The sequence below is a fragment of the Homo sapiens genome, chromosome 3 (assembly GCF_000001405.40).
Source record: "Homo sapiens chromosome 3, GRCh38.p14 Primary Assembly".
Taxonomy (NCBI): domain Eukaryota; kingdom Metazoa; phylum Chordata; class Mammalia; order Primates; family Hominidae; genus Homo; species Homo sapiens.
This window is the reverse complement of record NC_000003.12, coordinates 130,650,130-130,672,698: the sequence shown is the minus strand read 5'-3', so window position 1 is coordinate 130,672,698 and position 22,569 is coordinate 130,650,130. Positions and strand designations below refer to the sequence as shown.

At 41.0% G+C, this 22,569-nt stretch overlaps 1 protein-coding gene across 14 annotated transcripts in view; it reads right to left on the bottom strand.

The window, feature by feature from the left end:
- Positions 1 to 22,569, bottom strand: part of COL6A6 (collagen type VI alpha 6 chain) — a 160,323-nt gene that overhangs the window by 4,344 nt on the left and 133,410 nt on the right. For 13 of the 14 annotated variants that reach the window (XR_924103.3, XM_017005713.3, XM_017005711.3 and 10 more), the window contains 3 exons: positions 13,927 to 14,023; positions 10,391 to 11,062; positions 7,603 to 7,696 (listed from right to left, as the gene is read on the bottom strand). Coding sequence is in view for 13 of the 14 variants with exons in the window: in XM_017005713.3 (XP_016861202.1) it covers positions 7,603 to 7,696; positions 10,391 to 11,062; positions 13,927 to 14,023 (863 nt within the window). In the remaining variant the exon portion in view is untranslated. Of the gene's footprint in view, positions 1 to 7,602; positions 7,697 to 10,390; positions 11,063 to 13,926; positions 14,024 to 22,569 lie in introns of those variants that run through there. The other variant, XM_011512431.3, reaches the window with a different exon arrangement.

The window sequence follows — 22,569 nt, the reverse complement described above, 5'->3', positions numbered from 1 at the left end:
GGCGCGGTGGCTCACGCCTGTAATCCTAGCACTTTGGGAGGCTGAGGCAGTTGGATCACTTGAGGTCAGGAGTTCGAGACCAGCCTGGCCAACATGGTAAAACCCCTGTCTCTGCTAAAAATACAAAAATTAGCCGGGTGTGGTGGTACACATCTGTAATCCCAGCTACTCAGGAGGTTGAGGCAGGAGAATCGCTTGAACCCGGGAGGCAGAGGTTGCAGTGAGCTGAGATCACACCACTGCACTCCAGCCTGGGTGACAGAGTGAGACTCCATCTCCAAAAAAAAAAAAAATGTGATTACTCAATTTGAGAATTGTAAGACTTTGTTTCTCTTTATCCTACTATATATTGTTCAAATAATTCTTTGCTGATTGGTAACTCCAATAGCTTGTCAAGACAAAGAATGAAATCGTCTATTTTGCAACTTGTGCTCAGCTCCAGTAAAGTTTGTGGAAAGATGGATGTGACAAATTCTAGATAAGGTTAGGTGGGACTAATTGTAGTTCTCTGTGATCAGATTCCTCCATCTATGCAGATATTCAAGAGTCAGCCATGCTACATCTATTAGTTGACTGGATGCACTGAAATAGAAAATGCAGACAAGATTGCTTCTATTTCCAGAATTCTTTTACATTTGGTGTGCCCAGAAAACGTACTTTGGAAAGCAGAATTATAACAGATGCATTATTCATATGGCATTAGTGATTATGTCCATTTTTACAATTCAATTGTTCTGGCTCTGGCCTATCACTGCTTTAAAGTCTGGCACAGGTTCTTCCCTGGCTGGATGAAGCAATAAACAGGTGGCTTTCTGCCTTTATTGTTTCTGAGTAGATCTAAGTGCTTATATAAAGAGGGTGCCCTGCTCTCTCATCCTCATGGGCCACCTGTCTCCTTGGTAGCTTGTGGTTTGATTCAGCTCCTTCCTTTTCTATCTGATAAGCACCAGCTTCTACATGTATTTCTCATAATCTCACAGAATGACCTAATTCCTATGCAAGTCATTCTAAAGACCTGATGAGTCATCTTTATATCCAGACCTCTTTCCTAGCAGGTATTCTCATCTCCCTCAATCCTGTGTGTTCAATTGTGCCTCACCTCTCTTGAATGGCTCAGGTAAGGAGTTTCAGAAGCAGCTGTGTGGCTCATAACTTTTGATTAGAGTCTTTGATCACTTATAGAATGGCTGGCGAATGCACAGACAGTGGTATGGATTTCATGTCTCAATTCCTTGATGCCCCAGCCATTTGCTGACATTTCACCATTTCAAATACATAGGAGAAGCTGAGCATCCAGTGAATCTGGGGCAGTGTGACGAAAGAGGAAGAAACTTCCTGTCCAAAAGCACTGTGGATCCCCTCTTCCCACTCATATTTCTCTGCAAACATAAAGCATGGTAGGAGTGGTTTTCAAAAATGCCTTTTAATTGCATAGGTTGGCTCCCACATGTGTCCTTGCAGCATTCATGGCTGGCTACATATGTGGAGAGCCGACGGCAAAATGCAAATTCAGGCCCTTAAGTCTAAAAGCAGGGAAAAAAGCTTTCTTCCTTCTGCGATCTCTCCATCTGCCATGGAGGTTTCTATTTGTCATTCAATAAGCTTTCCCCATCCCCTTTACTTGGTGTGTGGCCAGCTGTTGAGTTCCTTTTCCCAACAGCCAGAAGTCAAGCCAGGCATCTCCCCTCTTCCCTTGGCTGGCCATCCCAACCTACAGCAGAGGGGTGTCCAGTCTCTTGACTTCCCTGGGCGACACTGGAAGAATTGTCTTGGGCCACACATAAAATATACCAACGCTAACGATAGCTGATGAGCTTGAAACAAAAAATCACACCAAAATCTCATGTTTTAAGAAAGTTTGCAAATTTGTGTTGGGCCACATTCAAAGCTGTCCTGAGCCTCATGCAGCCTGTAGGCCACAGATTGGACAGACTTGCTCTAGAGTGTTGCAGCCTCTTTGCTGGGACATGCTGGGTGCCTCGATGTAGGTGGGCAAAAGATAAATGCAGCGTGGCACTGCCAGCTTGGGGTGGATGGCCGCTGCCTTCCCTGTCCCAAGACTGTGGGAGCATAACTGACCCTAAGCCTCCCAGTCTAGGGTAGGTGGGGTGGGGGAACCCCAGGGAACTGGGAGGTACACAGTGGTCTATGAGAACCAGTCCTGGGGAAGTGGAGGGAGGTTGACTGGCAAGTGAACCAAGTCTCTAGGTTCCGACTCCCCAACACGTGCTTTATTATCCCATTGGACTTCACTATAAAACTCAAATTCAAAAATAACACTAATAGTGACTGTAGAGCACTAAACCCCAAGTGCTGTGCCCTACTGAGCACCCAGGCCCTGTGCAAGCTAACCAGCTTGTAGCACTTAGCCTGACTTGGTGAAAACACTGCTTTAACACCAGCTTTAATGTACCCTCCATGCCAAAGATACTGTCCTCGGCAAGAGTCACATGCACGGCATCTTGTCTATGTCCCTTTTCCAAGCTGCCAGACACCTGCAGCACGGGGAGCCCTGCTCTCCTTGGACTTAATTCACAGGCCTGTTTTAGGCTTGACTTCAGGAATTATTTGCTGCTGGACAGTTTCCCTGGACAGCTCACCTGTCAAGGTAAGCAAGAGATTCCAGGTGGAGGCTTCTCAGAGGTGACAGAGCTGGGGCTACTGCATTAGGAGTGCCTCCCTGGCCTTGATCACCATGCAGAAATGCACACATCACACAATAAAAGTAGGCACATCGCCAAAGGTATTTGCCTAAGTGTGGGTTCCAGGTGCTGGTGCACATTTGATTGTGGTTGGTGGCTGGGTAATGTATATGTGTGTTTGTACAGAATAATTTACCACAGAAATAGAGACACTCCCATTTGATTTCACTTATTTCTAATTTTTAAAAAGTAATATTCATACGTGCTAAAGATACAATATATATGCACATTCTTAAGTTTTGAAAGAACTGACTTTTGCCTTTGTTGATACTATCTTAATTTTTAAAAAATATTAAGTTCTACTCATTCATTTCTTTGAACATAGTCTGTTTTTTCAAATATATAACATCTTCAGATCAACGCTTAGCTCATTAGCTTCTTGAATTTAAATAACTTTTCTCACATGAGAATTAAGATAAAATTTCCTAAATCATGACTTCTGGTGCATCCTACAAGTTTTGACATATAGCATTTTGATTGTTACACAGTTCTAAGTATTTTTAAGTTTTCACTATAATTTTTTGTCCCATTATTTATTTATTCCCTTTAAAATGTATAGGTTTTTAAAATATTATTTTATTTTTATTTATATATATATTTTTTTGAGACAGAGTCTCACTCTTGCCCAGGCTGGAGTGCAGTGGCATGATCTTGGCTCCCTGCAACCTCTACCTCCTGAGTTGGAGCAATCCTCCTGCCTCTGCCTCCCGAGTAGCTGGGATTACAGGTGTGGGCCATCACGCCTGGCTAATTTTTGTATTTTTAGTAGAGATGGGGTTTTGCCATGTTGGCCAGGCTGGCCTTGAACTCCTGACCTCAGGTGATTCACCCACCTCAGCCTCCCAGAGTGCTGGGATTAGAGGCGTGAGCCACCGTGCCCAGCCTAAAATATTATTAATTTCTAACTTAATTGCATTGTGGTCAGACAATGTGGATTGTATGACACCAGTTCTCAGAGATTTGTTGACACTTGCTTTATAAGTTAGAAGTTGCACAAGGAACACTTATAAACACTCCACCTTGATTTAACAGTTGTTAATATTCCATATGTTCTTCAGAAGAATGTCTAATTTTTCTGTCCAGGGTTCTGCATGTATCTATTAAATCATTTGTTACTTATGTTTACATCTTTTATATCATTACTAATTTTTGTCTGTTTGACCTATCAATATTCAAACTAGTATACTGAAATCTCGAATTTTGATGGTTCAATGACAATTTCTCCTTATGGTTTTTCAGTTTCTCTTTTGTCTATTTTAAGGTTTTACGACCCTCATCAATTTAAAATTGTTTTATCTTCCTCATAAATTGAACACTTTGTCATCATGTAGTCATCCTCTTTATCTCTACAAAATGATTTAAAAGTATATATTATCTGATATAAATATAGCTATTCTACCTTTATTTTTGATATATTTGCCTGGTATGTTTTTTCCATCATTTTACTTTCTGCCTCTCCATTTCCTTATATTGTGGATGTGTGTCTTGAAAGCAGTTGAAGCTAGATTTTATTTTTTTGAGATGGAGTTTTGCTCTTGACCCCAAGGCTGGAGTGCAATGGTGTGATCTTGGCTCACTGCAACCCCTGTCTCCTGGGTTCAAGCGATTCTCCTGCCTCAGCCTCCCGAGTAGCTGGGATTACAGATGCCCGCCACCACGCCCAGCTAATTTCTTGTATTTTTAGTAGAGATGAGGTTTCACCATGTTGGCCAGGCTGGTCTCGAACTCCTGACCTCAGGTGATCCACCTGCCTCGGCCTCCCAAAGTGCTGGGATTATAGGCATGAGCCACCGCGCCCAGCTGAAGCTGGATTTTATTTTGTTTTCAAAATCAAATCCATCAATCTCTGATTGTAACTGGCATGTTTAATCTGTTTTTTTTGTGATTACTCATATATTTAAATTGACTTGATTCTGCTGTCTTTGTGCCTTCTGCTTGTCTTTTTTTTTGGCCTTTTTAAAGAAACTTTCTTGGCTTTTTATTTTTAAAAAATAATTATTACATTGTTGTTTTTTTATCCTATTTTCCCTCACTAGATTTTTGGTAGTTAGCTAATTTATATTTTTCTTTTTCATGTGTGCCCTTAAAATTTGTTATGCATTTTTTAAGCATCTCAAGTTTTTCAATAGCCTAATCCCCGGCCCAAATGATACAAGCTCCTAGAATCTTTTAACTCCATCTATCTCCCTGTGACTTACATTATTATTACCCTCTTTTTAGTACCACCTTGCTTTCCTTAAAGTCCAAGGCTTCATTTTTTAATAATACAAGATTATTTTTGTTGATGTCTTTTCTCATATTTAAATAAATCAAAAACATTTATTAATATTTATAGTCTTAGAACTTTTTCTGTTAAAACCACCAGGTGAAATGTTTTATTTTCATAGCTTTGTTAACAAGTACAGCTTTTTTATAATCCCACAAGTTAATATATATTACTTAAAAATGCATTTGTTTAGGCCAGGTTCGGTGGCTCACGCCTGTAATCCTAGCACTTTGGGAGGCTGAGGCGGGTGGATCACCTGAGGCCAGGAGTTCAAGACCAGCCTGGCCAACATGGTGAAACCCCATCTATCCTAAAAAATACAAAAAATTAGCCAGGCGTGGTGGTGCACACCTGTAATCCCAGCTACTTGGGAGGCTGAGGCAGGAGAATTGCTTGAACCTGGGAGGTGGAAGTTGCAATGAGCTGAGATCATGCCACTGCACGCCAGCCTGGGCGACAGAGTGAAACTCTGTCTCACAAACAAAAAAACATTTGTTTAGATTTAACTAAATACTGATAAACTTTATCACTTACTATTGCCTCTTGCATCTCATTCCCTTCTTCTGTGGTTATTTTTTATTTTTCTTGAAGTACATACTGTAGAAGTTTCTTTAATAAAGACTTTTTTGTAGTAAACTATTGTTTAAGTCTAAATTGTCTTAAGACAGTTTTTCTAAGTTGACAAAATTTTCTTCCACTAAAGTTATTCAATAGTTTTGTGGTTTCCACTGTTACAATTGATAAATCACCTACCAGCCTAATTACAATTTATTTGTAGATAATCTGCCCTTTCTTTTTGGCTGCTTTTGTCTTGGTGTCCTGCATTTCCCCATACTATGTCCAACTGTTGCTTTCTATTTATCTTGCCTGTTATATCTTTTTTCTTCATCTGTGAATTCATGTCATTCATAAGTTCTAGAAAATGATAATCTCTTTATGTCTTTGAATATTGGCTCTCATTATTTCTATTTTATCTTTCTAGAATTCCAATTAGATATAGGTTAGATCTTCCCATTTCATTTTGTCTCTAAAATTCTTGATCATCTCTGCATTCTATTTCAGCATTTTCTGTAATTATGTTTCTCTTCAGACACATTTATTACTGTTTACTCTTTCACTAAGTTTTACAAGTTTTAATTGTGAAATTCACAGAAAATTAGAATGAACAGAATCATAAATAACCTGTATATCTTTCACCTATATTCTCCAACTGTTACTATCTTGCTATTCTTTATATGTATATATGTATATAATGTACACATATATTCATTCACGCACACACCCTATCCTACTTCCCTTTAGGAAAACCATCTGAAGGTAGGGTGCAGCCATCATACATGTTACTCTTAAGTACTTCAGCATACCTATCTCAACAAAGACATTCTCTTATAAAAACATGATACTACTACCACATACAAGGATACTGACATTAATTCAATAATATCATCCAACATATTGTTCATACTCAAATTTTCCCTATTGTTCCCCAAATATCATTTATATTAGCTTTTTTCCAATCTTGGATCGAATTAAGATTCACACAATTACATTTGACCATTTTGTCTCATTTGTCTCCCATTCTAGAACAGTACCCCATGTCCCTCTATTCTTCATGATATGAATCCTATAAACAATGTAGGCAAGGTGTTCTGAAAAACATTCTAGATTCTGGAATTGTCCATTGGTTTCCTCATTATTAGACTTGGATTAAACATCCTATCTGAGGTCCACCAAGACGCTCATTTAGGTGACGTTGTGCACCTCCCACTGCATCCCCTCAGGAGGCACATAATGCCAGATCTCACCACGTAAAGGCACATTTTCCTGTTTGTAATTAATAAGTAACATGTGAGTGGTTCTGTGAGACTATTTAAACAGCCTGTTCCCCAACAACCTGTCACGCGATGGTTTTGGCACCCTGTAATCATCAGTTATTGTAATATGTTATTAACATTGTTATTACATTGTGAACCACAAACTGGTGATTTTCTAATTCTACCATTCCTTCTACATTTATTAGCTAGCATTCTTGTATAGAGAACATTTTCTCTCTTCCTCCATTTTTGGAAGTCCTCTATATAGACTTGCGGATTTTAAAAATTCAAAGTGTTATAATTCATTATCTTTATACTTTCTAACGTTCAACTTACTCAAAATTAGGCCAGTGGGAATCCCATCAAGATGACTCCTTTGTCCTTTTGAAAAGACATTGTTGGTTTTTAATTATTTTCTTGCTTTCTGGCATAACAAGTTTCTCCAGGCTAATATTGTACCTTCCCTGGGGCAATCTAGAATTAGGACTTTCTCTAAGAAACCCTGGTTCCTTTTAAAGGTATTTAGAAACCACAATGTGGTTATCAGGCATGCTCATTGTCACTGGGGTGTCCCATTTGGGTGTTTTATTTCAACACTTAGCTTTTCCATTAAAAAAAAAAGCAATTTGTTTTTCAGATCAGCATGGTCATTTTAAAAAGTTATCTCTTGTTCCTTCGAATTATATTTTAATATCATGTAGCAATAGATTTTTGTCCAAATAAGATGGAGGAGGAAGAAAAGCAAGAAAAGGAGGAGGAGGAAAATAGAAGAAAGGCAGGGGGCATTCTCATTTATCAAGTAACACCAAACAGACAGTACCTTCGGAATGGTCGTGGGGGCTGCTTTGGATCTATAGAGTTAAGTCTGTTGCACTTTATTTTTAAGTTTATTGGTGGATATTTGTTGATTGCACCTAGAAGAGAAAAGTCTGTGATAAGTCTTGTATTCATGACTGTTAACATTACTGCAATCTGCTCTGTACACAAAGTGCCACTTTACTGTTTTAAATAGCCATCAAGAAAAATACCAACTAAGGTGATCACATGAAATGAAAGCAGATTTCTCAGGGGAATCTTTAAAACTGACTTTAGAAAACACATCCCTTCTGAATTTATAGGTGAATTCAACTAACTTTTCAGTAAGATCCTCTTAGCTGCTAAAGCGGGTCAACCATTAGAGGAGATAACAATGAGCCAGTCCTAATAGGTCTGGCTTTTAATTGATATAAACTAACAAGAGTAGTTATTTATTTGCTCCTTTGAAATATCAAAATGCAAAGGAAAAAAGACATTTTCTTTATGATCTTTGAAACACTAACAACAGCAACAATAGCACTAACATCTTGGGTTCAGTTCATTAGTGGCTCATTTCATTTGGAAGTGTATTAATTTTTCATAACAATGAAGCATGCCTCTTTTTATACCATGTAAAGATTTAAAAGCCATTTTTGATGGGAATTCTTAAAAATGTATTATCTATTTCTTTGAAGCAGTAAATCAAATAGATTTGCTAAACACAACTAGATCTCTTCCTGGTCACCCAGGGTCATCATAAGTAGCAAGTTTGTCCTGGACCGTGACCCAACACTGTCTCCAGAGCTGCTGTTCTAAGTAAGACTGTGTGCTCTGGACTGAATGGCCTAAGACTGTGTGATGCTTCTGTTATTGTGCACCTGATTTTTAATTTTTTTATCTGTGTTAAGTATCAGATGGTTTGTCAGCAGTTTTGTTTCTCTTAGAAAATGTGTTGATTTTGATGTGGAGTGTGCTTGATAGTCAACTCTATTATAACAGTATATTTAAATAAGAGCCACAAAGCGAGGGAGCTAGACCAGAAGACCAGTCAGTAACCAAGACTGTTTTGGTCACTCCTTGATACCCAGCATCAGAACAGTGAGTGGCTCAGAGAAGTTCCCCAGTAAATATATGTTAATGTTGAATGCGTTAGTACAAGTCTGTGAGCCTGCTATGGAATTAAGCATGTAGACTTGAACATGATTATGCAAAGTCTTTCTTGACTTGTACTTTTATAGTTACATTTTAAAGATTGAAGATTTATAGATCTAAGTTCTAGAAGAATGGTGTATAATTTCATCATGGTTATAATTTTCCCAAAGCACTTTATGTATCTCTCATGTACCCTAAGTACTTTTTTCTTAAAACATCTTTTTACCTTTCCTCAGTTGAGGGGTGGGGTGGTGCCATTTATCTAATAATATAATTTGACTAATAACCCATGAAACACTACCAAGAATTTTGGGGGAGTGGGGAAGGAAATTCCATCATAAGACTTCTTGCAACTTCTTGCCTGATGAGAGTTTCTTTACAAGTTATCAGTCTTTAGAGATGTACTTTTTTTACCCTTACAAATGCCTTATGATTCCTTTCTTCAGAATGGCCCCATCCCCGTTTTTTTCCTTTTTTTCCTCAGCTCTTCTTTCTGGCTTCTATTCCAGAATACATCCACATAAATTTCATTCTGGGGGCTTATTGTTCCCATCCAAGTGTTTCTCAAACCATAATATACATATGAGTCACCTGGGGATCTTTATAATATGCAGATTCTGGTTCAGAATGACTGGGTTGGGTCCTAAGATTCTACATTTCTAACAAGCTCCCAAGTGACACTGGTACTACTGGTTCTAGAGTCAGTTTGAATCATAGAGGATATACTATCAGCCCCAACAACAATCTCCAAGGCTCCTTAGACCTCACCCTACACTGACTGATAAGTCTGTGTCTCTACAGCTTTAACTGGGCTTGCCACGTAATATCAGAGGCACATTTGAGACACAATCAGGACCTCAGTTGAACCACACCGGGTACTCTTTTGCCTGTGTGTTCATTTTTCTGTATCTGGACTGCAAGGGATCATTTACCATGAAAACGTTTGCAAGTCCTACCAAGTGCTTTTCACCCTTCAGAATCATATTAGGATACAGCTTTTTATCCACCCTGTTGCATTCAAAATGGATTGCATATTTTCAAGGCAAACTTACTCCAAGAAATGCAGCCCATGTTTCTTTTTTATGGGCACCAGTTACTCTAATTACTGGCATCATAAAAAGAGCCATTAACAAGGCTAAGAAAGTTTTGCAAGGCTCTATTTTTCATTCTGACAGGTAAAATGGTATCTCCTAACACTTCAAACTCTGCCTCAGGAACTTGTGAAAGCAAAGCCAAGAACTGTTTAATTTTTCTTTGGCTCTCTTTTTTGGTGCCTTAACAGATGAAACTTTCCATCAAAGGGCAGTGTGCTAAGGTTACACTGCAAGGATTTCTACTTTGTAGCTAAAGTCCAGGCTATGACTTCACACCCCCGGACTGCACTGCTCCATGAAGACAGATGTGTGAACAGCTGCTTGTTATGATTGCTTCTCTATAGGAACCAGAGGCATAAAAAAAAAATAAGCCAGAAAACTAAATGTGTAGGAATCAGAGGTTTCCTCCCTTCTACCATCCGTCATTATATATTTTCCTTTCTGACCCTGAAGTGCCCTTGAAGACAGACAAGAGGTTTCCAAGTATCCATGTTAGCTCATCAACCTTTTTTTAGTAATACCAAGTATATTCTTAAAGTGCAGAGAACAACAGATTTTATGACTTACGCCTGATTGAGTTTATAAAGGACTTCACAAACTTCACACCATAACTGTGGTCAGGTTTATGAATTCGGCCAAGCTGGACCAGGTGGTGATCCAAAGGGTGGCTGGCGAGATCCTCCAGTTCCTTGTCATCCCAAATAGGGCCAAGGGAAAACACAAATAAGGCATATCCCTGACATTTGGCTCGCAAGGATTCCTTCTTTAAGATTTCCCCATCTAAGTGGCTGGTTTCCCCAGCAGATATCACAAATATGACTTTGTTTCTTCTCAGATTGGGTGTACTTAAAAATACATTGTCCAGAGTCCACTGTAAGGCATGACCAATAAAAGCATCTCCATTTAGTTGTTTAACTGACTCGTGCACATGCCTCTTCATGAGGCGCTTACTTCTGTAGGTGGTAAGATTGAACTCAGCTCTAACTGGACTCTTCTGAGTGTTGGGTAGGAAGTCGGGGGGAGCATGGCTCAATAGGGCCACCCGGTCTCCAGTGACAGAAGTCTCCGGCTCTGGGGTGATTTCAAAGTGATCTAATAGTGCTCCAAGGAAGGCTCTTATGTCTTCAAATTCAGCACTTCCCATGTTCCGGGAGGCATCCAGAAGGAAAGCAGCATCCATGTAAGACTGCACAGGGGGTGGTCTGGCTTGGTCACAAGAAGCATCTGGCTTGCACACATCTGTGAACCAAAAGTTACTCTGGGTTACTAAGTAGAAATAGAAAAGGGAAGATAGCATGTCAAATATTTTGACATTTGGAAACTGCATAGTCTTTGATGTTAAAATAGTGACTAAATACTTTAATAGTAACAGGAAGATTTCCTAGTACATGGTTTGCATCTGTCCCCCAAAAGTACAGATTTTATACCCAGCTTGTGTCTTGGACTCCATTTACTAATGCTATCAGACTTTTAAAGATTAGGCTGTTTTCAACAGAAGTTTAATCTTGGCTGTGTCTCAAGTTTATGTCATTTGAAGTGGACGATTGGCCTCGTGCATGCAAGGGTATACTGTATCACAACATAACAGTGACTCATCCCTCTAGATTGACAATATTATCACTACGCTTATATTCTACTATGAAGAAGTGCTTACAAAGTAAAAGTGAACAAAGTAATATATCTTTTATTTCAATTTAAATAAGTTTATAACTCAGTGTCTACCTATGAGTGATCCTTAAGGACAAAGCTCATCTTTGCATTTCCATAGTGCTCATTAGTTGAAAACTGAATACATGTTTGTTAAATGAATATTAGATATTAATGGACTTTCCTAAATGAGGTCATTTTATAAATATGCATATCTCATTTAATAAAAGAATGCATAGTAATAAAAACGGGATTTTATTGAATATGACCACCATGAATATTCAGAGGAATAAAAAAATGGAAATGGAAGGTTCTTAAAGGTCATTTAATGTTGTAATTTTACAGAAGAGACTGTGGCCAGGATAGTAAAATAATTTTGCCTAAGGACACACCAGTATTTCTAGAAGTTTCTATATAGGAAGTCAGTATTTTATTGTTAGAGATGAGGCCAGGTGGTATAGTAGTGGGGAGGCCCCTTGGCCTGAGAGCTGGGATGCTTGGGTTCTGGTCTCGTTTCAGTAACAAGCTGTGTGCCCCTAGCCAAGTCACCACTGGGCTTCAGTTCAGCATAGTTCTGTAAAATTAGGTGGTAGGACCAGGCTCACCTACAGACCCCTTTCAGGGCTGACATTTTGTAATCCTGGGTTTTCAATAGTAGTTGATGGTTGAGGATGAAAATAGCCTCTTTAATAACCAAAGATAAGAAAGAAAAATGGAGTAACATGAGTATGGACAGTTGGTACTGGATATATAGGCAGAGGCCACAAATAAAAACTTAGATGAAAGATTAATAACCAGAGTGCTGATCCTAGGAGATGTAAGAAAATTCTCACTACAGTCTTGTTCATGGACTCAATAAAGATGTGACTTTGGATAAGTTATGGTTCCCTTACTGAAGTTAACTAAAATTTTATGGTCCTGTATAATGGTCAGATGATAAAACAGTCACCTGTGTGCAAAGCAGTTTCTAAAATCAGGGACAGCAGGCTGCCCATTTGCTCAGTTTTGTAGGATTTTTAATTGCAGGAAACAACAGCCAAAATCTCTTTTATTATATGCCTAAGAGACAAAACAAGGGTTTAAGCCAAGAAATGAAGCCAAAATCTATCCCCAGTCACACATGTGCAACTTCTGACTATGCAACATACCATCACACTGTTGTAACTGACATGTTTGAAAAAGCAACTGAGAATACATAGGGTGGAATGTATCTCCCCACAGTATGTAAAGCACTTTAACTGTTCTGAGTAAGATTGCCAGCGCCTAAACCAATTCTGTGCAGTCAAGAGAAGGAGAGGGAAAGAGGGAAATTTGATAGAGGGGAGCAGAGGGAAGACAGAAAGAAGAGGGGTTATTAGAAGACCAGAAACCCTACTTCTCCCTCAGAATTACTACCTTCCTCATTTAGGTCATTTATATGGCAGGCATTTGCATCTCACTGATACATGTGAAGGAGAAAAATCAAGCATTTTCTACAGGCTCAAATGGAGAGGTTTAGGGAGCAGAAGAATGAGACCTGTTTTTCATAAACTGCAGACGGTTTAGAGTCAGCCTTCTTGGGTTTAATATGGCTGTGAAGCCCTGAGCAAATTACTATCTCTAAGCTTTATTTTTCTCTTCTGTAAAATGGAACTAATAGTAGTTTAAATGTTTTAGGGTGATTTTAAAGACTGAATGACATAATTCATTTAAAGTTATTAAAACAGTGCTTGGAACATAAGCACAATAGTTTAAGTATTAACTGTCATTATCACCATCATTGATATTACATGAATTAGAACAGTGCATGGCCTATAGAAAATGCTTTATATCTCTTAGCTATTACAGCCACCAATGATTCCAGTGGCTTCCACTGTCTTTGTAATTATTAGAACACTCAAATGGAAGATTAGAGTCCAGTTTTCTAGTTAGACCTATACATTACGTATAAAACACTACAAATAAATCAACACTGCAAATCTTTCTGATGCTTAATATTTGGGAGTCTATGAAGCCTTTTTTCAATGAGAAATGTATGAATTTCTGCTATTTTCCACTTTGACTGTACTAAAAAATATTCCTAAGCAGGTAGGAGGGTGCTGAATTGCTTTCAGGCATTTCTTTGTGGCTGTGAACATTTGAGATTTAGAAAACACATAAATATACTTTATAGCATAAAAACTTGGCAATGAAATAGGCTGTTTTTCTAAGAATCATTACTGTTTCCTGTAAGCTGCACTATGTAGAAAGGCCTGGAATGCAACTCTTTTGCTGGGATATATAGGAAGAGACCATGTTTGCTGAGCTGAGAGGATTCATCTGTGGAAGATGAAGTGTGACAGGGTGGGCCCAGAACCCCAGAGAGGTCCTCCCAAGGCCATAAGTATCCCTGCTGCCAAGTTCCAGTTGCCCCTGCCAGTGGTGACTCATCATGCTTAATAGGCCTGACCAAATTACCTTCTCTCTGTGGGTCTTACCATAGCAGAAAGTGCACCGCTGGAGTCTCTCTAATGCTGGTATGTAGTCGGCCCCGGAGGGAACCACTATTACTTGAAATGTGCCAGTGTCGTCAATCTAAAAGAAGCAGAAGCAGCAGAAAGAACTTAGTGGGTAGGGCTGCAAGAACCTCTTAGGACTACATAGAGAACTGACATCTGGAGAGAGTAACACTGCTCCTTCTAAGAAGGTACGGGGGAGGCACAGCATGTAAGCATGGCTAAGAGCTCTGTCTGGGTTTAAACCTTGACTCTCAATTTAACTATATGACAAGTTATTTTCCATGTTTCTTCATCTGTAAAATAAGAGTACTACTACCTCCTAACAGGACTACTGTGAGCATTAAATGGGTTCATATTTGTAAAGCGCTTGCACAGACAGTACAGTGTGGGTGGTTAATGATCACAAAACATTTTCATATCTATTACTGCAGCAATACAGTGAGTTATGCTCATCATCCCCATTTTACAGATGGGGAAACTGAAGCTCAATGAAACGTTAAAAGGACCGATCAAAAGACACTGAAGCCATTTAAGAAAGAGTATCAGAGACCTCCTCTCCCCTACCTAAGTCTCAGAGACCCATGTAAAATCACAGGATGCCCTTTATAAACTATCTTTAGGTTTCTACTATAAACTAGGCATTGAAGCTGTCTTTGAAATACACTCAGATCTACGTCCATGCAGCTCTCTGAACAACTCCCAACCCTTTCCCAACTTGGCCCCATTGTTAGTAACCCACAGGGGGAGCTTGAGGGTAGAGAACAGGGGGAAGATAAGGAGGCTCTGAACAAGAATTATGAGCTTCACTAATTGACCCAGAGATCATTGATAATTAAAGAAAAACTGTAGGCATGACCTTATCTAATGCCTAAGAGATGAGTCAGATGATATTTTAGTTTTTCCCTGTGATTCTCCTGTCCTAAGCTAATGACTACCCTCTTTCTCTGGGAAGATCCCCCATCACCATAATTAATCCACAGAGGTAGAACTTCATCAGTTGTTTATATGGCGTAACTCTGTCTTCAACCATAGCTGACTGGACTAGATATGGTGTTAAAGTACATTTGGCCTGAGGACACCTCTGTATTTTGAGTCCTCATGTAACCAACTGCAACCTAACTTAGTACGTACTAACTGAAAACCTATCTTAGGAGTTGTTGTTGTTGTTGTTGTTGTTTTAAACAAATAGCCAAGTCTTAGCCAATCATAGCGGCTATGCTTCAGTTAGTCACAAGTGGCCAACTGATTAGACCATGTTCAAATGAGGCAAAGCCCGAACCGTAATCAGTCAAGCTGTTTCTGTAGTTCACTTCCATTTTCATCCATAAACACTGCCTGCCACATTGTGAAGAACAGCTCTCTGAAACTCCTCTGGTTCTGAGGGCTGCTCGATTTGATGGCAGTGGTGGCCCATCTGGAGTGGCCACTGCCATGATGCTGGCTGCAGTCAGGCCCACTAGGCTTGTCCCACTCATTCAGCCTGGCAGGCTGTGCTTGGTTCATGCTACCTGAGTACAGTCGGGGCTGCACACTCCATGGAACCCTGGGAGCTGGGAACAGGTGGAAGCCCCACCCGCTTCTGAGTTGGCAGGGTAAGAGCCTCCTGCTCCTTGAATGCAGCTGCGGCCATCCAGCTGTGGCTCCAGACCCAGGCATCCCTGTGCTCTTGGGGGCTGGGAGTAGGCAGGGGCCCTGCCCTCCTGGGAGCAGTTGCAGCCGTCTGGCTGCGGCTGTGGGCCCAGGCATTTCTGCACTCTTGGAGACCTGGGAAACCCCTTGCCCCTACCAGCTCGAAATGCCTGCTCCTGCTACCTAGCCTCTCTCTGCTCCAGCACCTGCTCTGATCTTGGAGCAAAGTTGAGGCTGAGCCCAGGCACTGTTGCAACCCGGCCAGGTGTGCACACACCATGGGCAGTGCTGACATGCCAGCCTCACTGCCTCAGCCCCCTCCCGAGTTTGGGTGCTAACAAGCACGAGAGGGAGTCCAAGGGGGGTTCTCAGGGCAGCTTGGTACTGGCCTGTAGGCACCCCTCAGTGCAAACAGCCTGGGCTCCACTGGATGACAGAAGGAGGCAGACAGGCCTCTGTGTGGAAAGGGGTGGGTCCTCAGTGAAACCCCACCTTCAAGCCAGGGGGAGCCCGAAGCCTGGGGGCTGGGCTGACCAAAATGGGAACTTATGGTGCTTTTTCTGGCCCGTCAGTGGCCTCCCATTAATCAATCAGCACACACTTCCTCCCCTCTGAAACCCATAAAAACCCTGGACTCGGACAGACTCAAGGAGGCCACCAGTTGACCAGCTGCAGAGAGGAGCTACCCACCCCAGGGCCTCCTCTCTGCTGAGAGCCAGACACTCATCAGGAGACCCTGTCTGCAGAGAGGAGCTACCCACTGCAGGTCTCCTCTGAGCTGTTCTGTCACTCAATAAAGCTCCTCTTCACCTTGTTCACCCTCCACTTGTCTGTGTACCTCATTCTTCCAGGATGCAGGACAAAAACTCAGGACCCACTGAATGGTAGAGCTAAAACAGCTGTAACACACACAGGGCTGAAACATGCTCCTTTTTCACCACGTTGTGGGTGACAACAAGGTGAGGAGAGAGGAGAGGAGAGAGAAGAGCTGCAGCCCTCTGGGGAGCCCAGACCTAGGAGCTCAAGTCAGGGCTGTGATACCCTCTCTGGGGGTCTGCAGTTCCTGGCATCTCCAAGTTTCCAGGTGCCACCATGTTCCCCAGTGCCAGCTGTGGAAGCTGCTTGAGGTACACCTGGTCCAGCCACAGCCTCGCAGGGAGCTGCCCACCCTGCCACCCCACAATCACTTGCTCACACACCCCTCGCTGCTCCATGCCTGGCTTGCCCTTGGCAGGTATGAGATTCAGGCTGGTAGCATGAGCCAAGCACAGCCTGCCAGGCTGAATGGGTGGAACAAGCCTAGTGGGCCTGAGTAAAAACTTGGGCAAAGGCACCACTGGCCACAGAGGTTTCCAGCTGGTGGAGCAACACCCCAAAGATCCCATGACAGATTTACAAATAGCTCTTAGTGCAAATAAACTCTGCAAAATTTAACTTGCCTAAAGTTTTTAACACTTTGGTATCACAAATGGGATCCAAAGTAGACTTCCAGTGACTCCCAGGCGCACCAAGTGACCAGGTAAATATACCTGCCTGGTCCACTGTGCCCATTGATCTCTCACAGCAACTGGGATCATGGGTGAGTTCTCTTTGATTCAAGCTCCATGAACTTGTGTTTTGAGCTCTTCAAGTTTATTTGAGTAATTTTTATATTGGCTGGGTCCAAGATCAGATTGGATCCTGTAATTAATAGGATTGCATCCAATTAGAGGCCTCAGATGTCTGACTGGGTCAGGCAGAAGCTGGACTGGGTCCAGTAGGTTGGTAAGATTAAGGAAGACAGAGAAGAGTGGGTTCATCTGGATTCAACAAGTCTTCTATCTTGGAACCTATTCTCTTCTAGAGAAATGGGTAAACCTTACCAAAAATAAGAGTTACAGTGGCCACCGTGGGAAAGATTTAACCCAAACAAAATTGCTTATCTATGAGGCACTTTGGAGGGTAAAAAGGGGATCCTGGACACCTCAGGAACAATGGGCTATATTACTCATTACTAGTCATTATTCTGGAGCTTGCAAGATACATAACTTCCCCAATTTACTCCTACAGATAACATCACTACTGTAGAACCTATGATTGGCCCTTTGAGATGTCTTCAGGTTGTTTTGCATTTCTGATAACTAATGGCTCCACCTGAACCCACCAACCACTCCTGTGGCCCCGCCCAGAAGTGACTCAGAGTGTATGAAGACCATTTTCCACACCCCTATGATTGCATTTCCAACCAATCTGCAGCAAGTGCCATTGCCTAACCACTCCCCTCTTCCCCCAAACTATCCTTGAAAAGCCCTAGCCTCCAAATTCTCAGGGAGACTGATTTGAGTAATAATAAGACCCCGGTCTCTTGTTCAGCTGGCTCTGCATTAATTAAGCTCTTTCTCTACTGCAATTCCCCATCTTGCTAAGTCAGCTCTATGTGGGCAGTAGGCAAAATGAACCTACTGGAACGTTACATGAGCACAGGGTAAAAGCAGAGGCTGCTTATCTGGACTTAGGACCAGAGGACACCTGGGCTCCAGATACTTATAAATTCTACTTAGGATGTGTGTATATGGGTATACCTAAGCTAGCTTAAATTGGTTTTTGTGATCTGTAAACAAAGTAGTCTTGACTATACACCAGGAGAGTTAGTCTGCATTATTAATAGCTATTAAGAGGTGTCTCTTTGCAATGTTTTAAGTGAATCATGCCTTCACTCCATCTGGATTGTGGTAAATGACTGGAAACCAAACCCAGTGTCAGTTCAGACAGCATAGCTCAGACTACCTGGGAAGGGCCAAGAGCTTTCTTATTGCCAATGATCAGGATCCAGGGGGAAAAAAAAATCATGGAACATTTGATCTAGAAGAAATCAGGAATGATGTCATCTATTGCAACCATTTAAAGATGAGCCAAGTGAGCCTCAGAAGGGGTGGATTATGGAAGGCTCCGATTTAAGTTTTGCTCTCCCCAAACAAGGGCTACCTTCCATCTTCTGTATTAGCTACCTTTATGATTAGAGTTTTTTATCAGTAGGTCTCTAACTTAATTTAGAGCAGTGTTTCTCAAGACATTGCCCAAACATTGCTGCCATTTGCTAATTAGTCTTCTATTCTACATGTTCTACATGTCTACAACATGACCACTTCCATATTTCTGGTGTTGGTCCCTGCTGATAATTTAGGCTCACATTTAATCACGTATCAACACATTGGTGTCAACTTAGAGCAACATCAACCTTCTCATTGATTCTAGTGAGTTGTTTTATGGGGAGAGTCCACAGGGGGTCTGCACTCTCACCCAATACCTCCCCACTTCCCCCAACCTTTCCCCCTTGACCAAGTAATCTTTCAGTCAATAAAGTCTGGAAGATGTAGTTTTAGAGTTCATTCATCCTACCACATATCACTGGAATAAGTATAGTTAGCATATTACAGAAAAATTCCTTAAACTGAATGTGGGCTAAAGATTTAAAATAAAATGGTCCTATTATTTATGTTTCTTATTGCTCACTCTCCTGTGGATTCAAAGAAGCACCAGCTTGGATGAAAGCACAGCTATTACATTCACAGATGGGAGGTTTGGGGCATTTAGCAAAGGGTTCTGAATGATACCTTACTCTTTCTTCTCTAAACATCATGGGGCATGTCTAAACATCTAAGAAAAAATACAATGAATATTATGAATAATTCTCTTCTAGACAATTATATATAAACAAATAAAAATTATCTTCAAAATAAAAAGGTTGGGTGCCAAAATTCTTGTTTTCCATGAGAAGTCTCCCCCCATTTCAACTCTGTCTCTAATCATGAGAATCATCTATAATGTCAAAGACTACACTTAATTTTCCTCTTAGCTGCGACGCCACACAGCAGTGTAAAATAAAAAGCCAGGCTAGCTAAAAGACATATTTCTTATCAAAATATTGGAAAGGGAGATTCACCCTAGATTAGAAGCCTCAATGTGCAGCACGTCAAATTTTATCAGAAGAAGCAATTGCTAAACAAATCTAAAGGCAAATTCCTAGGGACAAAATAAGCAAACAAACAAAAAACATGTTTTTCCATTAAAAAATGGTCCTCCATTTGTGAAGGAAGGCACAGCTTGCCACTCAACTTCATACTATCATGAAAAACTTCCAAGACGGTGATCACAGTCCATTTGCTAAGAAACAGGGAAATCAGTATATGCTGTCAGAGCGGGTGCTTCTGAGTCCCAACACACATGGCTGCACAGGTACCAAATTTCATGATGGACTACTTAACTCCCAGATGGATCAAGATTTAGAAAAGCCTTGGTAGGTATGAAACAAACTAGGGTTTTAAAATGTGGACCCACAATAAAAATGCATTGTATCATGAGACTTTCAAGTTCTGTTCTTAAAAAATAATGGACAACAGTTTAAATGTAGGTAAAGCACAATGGAAGAGAATGGATAAAAGAAAGAAGGCGGCAAGTAGAGGTAGTAATGTAATTTCTCTTCTGTAATATCAGACATTGGGTTCTAACCAAGTTGCATATATGGCTCTGTTTTGAGCCCTTCCAGACAACCCTGCTTGGTTTCATCTTCCAGCGTCAGGGTGGGCCTTTTGGTTTTCCAGTTTGCTCCTGTATCCTCAGACCCTAGGACAGTACCTGGTGTATAAGATGAGGCACTCATTAAACATCTGTTGGATGAAACTTGGGAGCAATTCTGACTTCATCTCTGACTCCATAGCAAGTCCGAGTTCCTGAGCTTGTTGTAAAGCAATGTGGTCCTTGTTGTGTTTATCATCTCTGAATCTGACTTGCTGATATCTGAATGAGAAGAGGTACCTCTCCACGAGAAACACATCACTGGGGTTTCCTTTAACCAACCTACATCCCAGCATTAGGCATCTCACACATTATTAAACTTTTGTTCTTTCTATACCTGTTGCAAAGAACTGCTCTTCGCTGAGCTTTTTCATTCATTCAGCATTTGTTAAATATCTGATGTATGGCAGGGACCAATAAACTAGAAGATCAGCAGTTACTGTTCCTATCGCCACACATCATAAATTAGGAAAAATAATCAGATAATCACATATAAGTTGCAGTGTTGGGGGCCAATGCTGCTTACATTAATGGGGGTCATTATGAAGAATTTAAACCTTCATTGGTGCTCTTTTGAGATGAACTTCTTCAAAAAAGGAGTTAAGAGTTTCTAGAAGATTTGAGTAGAATCAAGAAACCAGATTCATCAATTTCTAGGTGAGACTGAACACTCAAAAGTTTAAAACACAAAGTACATTTTCAGAAGTTAAATGTTGTACACACACCTTTGAGTGGGTGAGTGGAATTGTGTCAGTTTAAGTTTATATCACAATTTGCATCAGGAGAGAAAGTTGTCTCCTTTTATGACTAAACAAAACCAAGGGATAAGGGAATTACAAGGACTATGTAACCAAAATCACTTATTGAATTTTTTAGCTACTGCTACTTCTCATAGCAACTCTATTTGCATAGCCCGGCCCCACTCTTTTCTACTTTATTGCATTTCCCTATCTGAACCTGATCCATCAGCCTTTCATTTGCATAATTCTAAGGTTAGTTCAATGATGCTACTATTAATAATAGCAGTTTCAGCTCCTTTACAACCTAGATTATTATTAAACAAATTTTTGTTCAGGATCAAGCAACTGAATGCTAATAATTAAAGCAAAAGCTATCATTCTTTTTTTTTTTTTTTTTTTTTTTGAGATGGAGTCTCGCTCTGTCACCCAGGCTGGAGTGCAGTGGCACAATCTCGGCTCACTGCAACCTCTGCCTCCTGGGTTCAAGCGATTCTCCTGCCTCAGCCTCCTGAGTAGCTGGGATTACAGGCACACGCCACTGTGCCTGGCTAATTTTAGTATTTTTAGGAGAGACGGGGTTTCACCATGTTGGCCAGGATAGTCTCAATCTCTGGACCTCGTGATCTGCCCGCCTCAGCCTCCCAAAATGCTGGGATTACAGGCGTGAGCCACCGCACCCAGCCAAAAGCTGTCATTCTTGATTGCTCACTACGTACTGGCACTAATGCAGTGTTGCATAAATTAATCTTCACACTAACTCTAGGAACCAGGTGCTTTCTGCTTTCCATATTTTACAGATGAGAAATATATTCCAACTCTGTTATGCTTATTTCAACACTTTCACAGAAAATTTAGAACAGTGGAAATGGCCTCAAAAGGCCACTTTTAGCCTCTAATCTAGGAAAAATAGAAGTCACCCTCCACAGGTGAGTGACCACCCTTACAAAAGACCTGCAGATAAAGGTAACATCTTGACTACTGGCATTAATTCATGCCCAGTAAATCAACATTGCCTTTCAAAAATTCTTTTTTAAAACCTAAAGTTTCCTACTGCTGTCACCCCTAGTTTCTCTATGATTTTGCAGATTTGGAATTCAGCTGGCTAATTTTCTCCAGTAATACTTTTTCATACGCTTGAAGACAATGATTGTTTCTTGTCTTATTTTCTCTAAATAAATTTTCAAATGGCTGGCCTTTTTCTTTTTTCTTTTTTTTTTTGGAGACAGAGGCTCACTCTGTCACCCAGGCTGGAGTGCAATGGCACGATCTTGGCTCTGCCGCCTGGGTTCAAGCGATTCTCCTGTCTCAGCCTCCCCAGTAGCTGGGATTACAGGTGCCTGCCATCGCGCCCGGCTAATTTTTGTATTTTTAGTAGAGACGGGGTTTCACCGTGTTAGCCAGGATGGTCTCGATCTCCTGACCTTGTGATCCACCCGCCTCGGCCTCCCAAAGTGCTGGGATTACAGGCGTGAGCCACCGCTCCCGGCCCTGGACTTTTAATTTAAATTTTCCAATGCCTCTTTGCTGCTCCCTGGCCCCCCCCTTCACGGTCTCCACATGGAGAACAGAACACCATGTGGTGCCAAGAGGCCAACTGGAAGGACCCTTTGCTGGGCCCAGCAGGTCCCCAGTGATGAAGCCCTGCCACTGAGCCACTATTAACGGGATATTTTAAAGTTATCATCAGTCATCTTAATCC